The sequence below is a fragment of the Homo sapiens genome, chromosome 16 (assembly GCF_000001405.40).
Source record: "Homo sapiens chromosome 16, GRCh38.p14 Primary Assembly".
Lineage (NCBI taxonomy): Eukaryota > Metazoa > Chordata > Mammalia > Primates > Hominidae > Homo > Homo sapiens.
The window spans coordinates 76,944,024-76,948,374 of NC_000016.10; the positions used below are offsets into that span (position 1 = coordinate 76,944,024).

General features: G+C 38.9%; 1 annotated feature.

The window, feature by feature from the left end:
• Positions 2,573–3,772: an enhancer, noted in NCBI's record as "P300/CBP strongly-dependent group 1 enhancer chr16:76980493-76981692 (GRCh37/hg19 assembly coordinates)". NCBI's record gives its function as "activates an origin of replication core promoter dependent on BRD2, BRD4, P300/CBP, MED14 and CDK7 cofactors, with strong dependence on P300/CBP, by STARR-seq in HCT116 cells {active_cell/tissue: HCT116}" and the evidence as "EXISTENCE:reporter gene assay evidence [ECO:0000049][PMID:35650434]".

Genomic DNA, 4,351 nt, shown 5'->3' on the forward strand with positions numbered 1-4,351 from the left:
TTGGCCAGAAGCCAAAAGATAATTACAGTTTTTAAAAGTCATCTCTGTAATGTGCATCTGTTGCCCATGGTGTCCATTCATAAGCTATTCATAAATTTTGTAAGGAGGAAATGAGGAGGCAAATATAACAAATTCTTGCTCCTCACTGAGCCAAGCCTTTCAATGAGATGCTTTCATGTGACCATGCACGCTAGAATCTCTGATGGTTCTTTCAATGAAAAGAGTTACAACAGTAGATTTTAGTTCCTTTTTAAATGAAAGCAGTATTTCAAGTATTGATGGTTAACAAGAACTTACTTCAGGTGCAGAAATGAAATACCCAACAAGCTGTATTTCTCACAAGGTCTGCAGAAACACTTGAAACCCATGTGCATATAGATAATATAGAAAGAAAACCTAGCATCTGCCATTTCATATGCCCAGGATGTCACCTCCGCCCTATCTTCTTAACAAGAATAATGCCCCTAGCTCTTAAGATAAAAAATACACTGGGGGAAAGAAATCTCAGCAATATATAAAAACATAGAAGTCTTGTACCCATGAAAGTTGTACATTCTTACTTCTCTACTTCAAGAGCCCTCATAGGATGTCACAGTGGCAAAAGACCGCAGGTACTCCCAGAATTCCCTGCTGCCTGAAATATAGTCAATATTTGACTGCCTGTTCACTGCAAACAATAGAGAAAAGTTATATAGGATAATTAAAGCCTCCAGGACAACAGAAAAGATTGAAATGATACAAACAAAAAAAAATAAAGGATCATTGCGTTCAGGAATTATAAACCTCTACACTTCCCACCAGCAGGCAGGCACCAACCTCTAAAACTCCTTTTCCTGATAGCAGTTGGACTGGGTAAGGAAATGGGGTCTTGTGTTTGACCCATTGTTGAATATGCAAGAAATGAGAAAAAAAGGAAGGAAGTAGGGGAGGGATGGCGAGAGGGAAGAAGAGAGGAAGGAAGGAAAAGTATCAAGTTATAGGACAATAATAATATCAAGTCAACATAAACTATACCCTGTCTCTACTAACATGTTTACTATCCCCACTGTATTAGATAGCCTTTTGTTTTGTTTTGTTTTTCTGAGACAAGTGCTGGAGTGCAGTGGTGTGATCTTGGCTCACTGCAACCTCTGCCTCCCAGACTCAAGCAATCCTCCTACTTGGCCTCCTGAGTAGCTGGGACTGTAGGTGGTGGACACCACCGCACCCAGATAATTTTTGTATTTTTTTTATAGAGATGGGGTTTTGCCATGTTGCACAGCTTCTGAGCTCAAGTGATCCACCCGCCTTGGTCTCCCAAAGTGTTGGTATTACAGGTGGGAGTCACTGGACCTGGCCTAGATAGGCTTTTGACTAAAAAATTATATTATCTCTCATGTTCGTTACTGGTGGTTGTGATTATTAGTTTTGTTTTAGCAAATCCACAAGAAAAATATCATGAACCTGTGATCTGGTGAGGAGAAAACTGGTAAATATTCACATGAGGCATAATCTCTCAGAAGCCTGGCCACCAGATAAGCCAGGCACTATAGGAACAGTGCTTCTGGCCTGGAGGACAGATTTACTTGCAGCATTTCCTCTGAGCCTGTAAAGCTGAGTGAATACCATTTACCAGCAGACCTTGTCACATCAGGAAGAAAAGCCCCTGAACCTGGAACTCTCGAAAATTGTTCTGCACTATATAGGTCACCATGAGAAGCAAGAGTTTCCCTTAACTACTAGAGACTATAAACATAATTTATAAATACACTCACTAATACAGGGAAAACTATAAAGTTTAGTTATTTCAGTGAAGGTTAGCTTGGATGCTCAGAAAAGGGTGCTCATAGAGCTGATAGCCTTGGTTACATTTCCATAGATTCCATGAAACATCACACAAAATATCTTACCACCTTAAGCCCCACAAGTAGTAAACCCCTCATTCTCTGTGTAATGGATATTGTTTTGACAACTGTGTTTATTTGAATCCATAATTTGGCTCTCCCTAGTGTCACCCGAGTGTTAGGTTTCTCAGATTCCCTTAACTCCAAAGGTTGAGGATTCAATTTGCTTTTTGCCAGTGGGATTCATTCCCAAGAGATTTTGAAAATGCTGATGACAGGTGCCGTAAAATAATTCTTCCTTTGGTTCTGTTGAGTAAAGGCTAGCTGTAGCAGATAAGCGGTTTTGTCCCCTACAGGTTGTTACTGATTCACTTCAGTGACCATTAGCAGGGACTTCCTATGGTTTCCCTACCTGGGCAGCACCAAAACCTTCCTGACTCTCTGGACCAGAACTGTAGCGATAAGCCTGAAAACAAGCTTCAGTCTCTGATGGCTTCCACAGTCGTTCCGACAATTGTTAACATAAAATTCCCTAAGTAAATACCTTTCAGTTGAAAATACCTAAAGTTGGTATTGCTGAGTGATACCCCTAATATCTAATATCTTAGACAAGGAGCAAAGAAACATGCACATTTTGACTCCCAAACTACATAGTGGGAAAAGAACAACTGTCCTAACAAGCTCAGTTGTCTGGATCAGGAATAATAAATAGTCCCTTTTACCAATTTTGATACAATTTTTAAGGGAAAACAGTTATAGAAACCTACTTTATTCAGGATTTGTGTTTTCATACTATATCGTAGCATATTGAATATTGAATTAGTTTACCTCTACAAAACTTTTAACAACACATAAAATTCAGTTATTTCCCATGGAAAAAAATAGTGTTAATTATACCCATGTAGTAAATTTCTTGAAATTCTGCATGCAATTATCAAACCTTAGCTGATCAGGAAAGAGACAGAGTTTTGGTCTATGAATTTATAATACAAACACTATAAGAAAGCACTATTAATCACCTTATGTGGACTATAAAATAATTTCATGATATTACCAAATTTTGTCTCATTTAACAATACAGTTTAATCCACAAGAAATTCAATTTGGAAATAAGTGCACAAGTCCTGTTTTCTGCTGCAGCAAGCGTGGGGGGACAGAGATAAGAGAAACAGGCACTGATTCTGATGACAGGAAGAGGATGATGTTGTAAAACGACTTCTGCTGAGTCATATGCCAGGGCTGCTATGAATCACCTTCAGTTTGTTGACAGTATGCTTTGAATTTGGCTCAGTTATCTAGCATGCTCTCCACCTCAACCAAATCTAATCCAGTTGGTCACCAGATGCAAGGAAACCAAAATGCAAGAGGAATCGCCACCATAGTCTCAGCCACCTGAATTAGTATCTGTGGATCCTGGGAGACCACCACATGGAGACAAAGGGTGGGAAATTGAGGGGTTGGTGACACTAGTTTGCATTTTTAAAAAACTGAAAACAATGAGAGAGACTCACGCCATACTTACTGAATCATAATCTGTCTTTTAACAAGATCCCAGGTGATTGATCTGCAAATTAAATTTTGAGAAGCATGGATCTGTGATTCATTGGCAATTACCAACTGCACTCTCAGAAGAACAAGGTAAAGAAAATAATGCTCTTGGCTTTGTAATAGAGAAATGCATTTCTAGTCACAGGAGAGAATATTCTGAAAAATAAATACAAATATATGCCAAGAATATAGGAAACCAACCAATTAAAAAAAAAAAAATGAACCGTAGACTGAGGATCCTGCTTTATGGAAAAGTCAAGTCAAGATGATCAGTCCCACATCTTATAGTTAAATAGCCTTGAAATGTGTCCTATGAGGGAGAAATAGCATTATAATGCTATGAGCCAATTCAGATATAGTTTAATTAAGTAATATGCAAGGTCATGGAGCGTGACGGGCAGAGTGATTTAGAACAGAATTAACTATGTCTTTTACTGGGGCCATGCCTGGTTGTCATCTAACACTGCAGCATATAAACTCTAAGAAATGTTCTGGCATTGCAGATTTATCCCTGCAGCCAGAGGAGCTGAATTCTCTTTCCAAAGCCACAGAAACCCATCCCCTCTTTCTATTTTTAATCCTTTGCTGATTCTAGGGGCTTTCTACCAAGTAATTTGTTGCCAAACAGTTGCTCTCCTTGCAGCTGCCAAACAGACCAGCATTTGCAGCCTCGGGTTGTGTGTAGTGTTGGCTCTCTCCCCAATGTCATTTCCTACAAGGCGTTTCTTTCAACTGATGCATTAGGGTCTTTGAATGACAACATGAAATTAAATAGAAAATGACATTCATGAGAAAAGATGTTTCTTTCCAATAACTGAGACTCTCTACCCATCTGTCATTGCTTCCTTCTCTGTCTCATAGTTTTCTGCAAATCCCAAGCAGCTTGATACAAATATGATCACTAGAGGATTTTTATACATTAATGCAAATTATGAACTAGCAACAATTAGGGCATTCTGCCCAGACTAGTTGATGCCCTT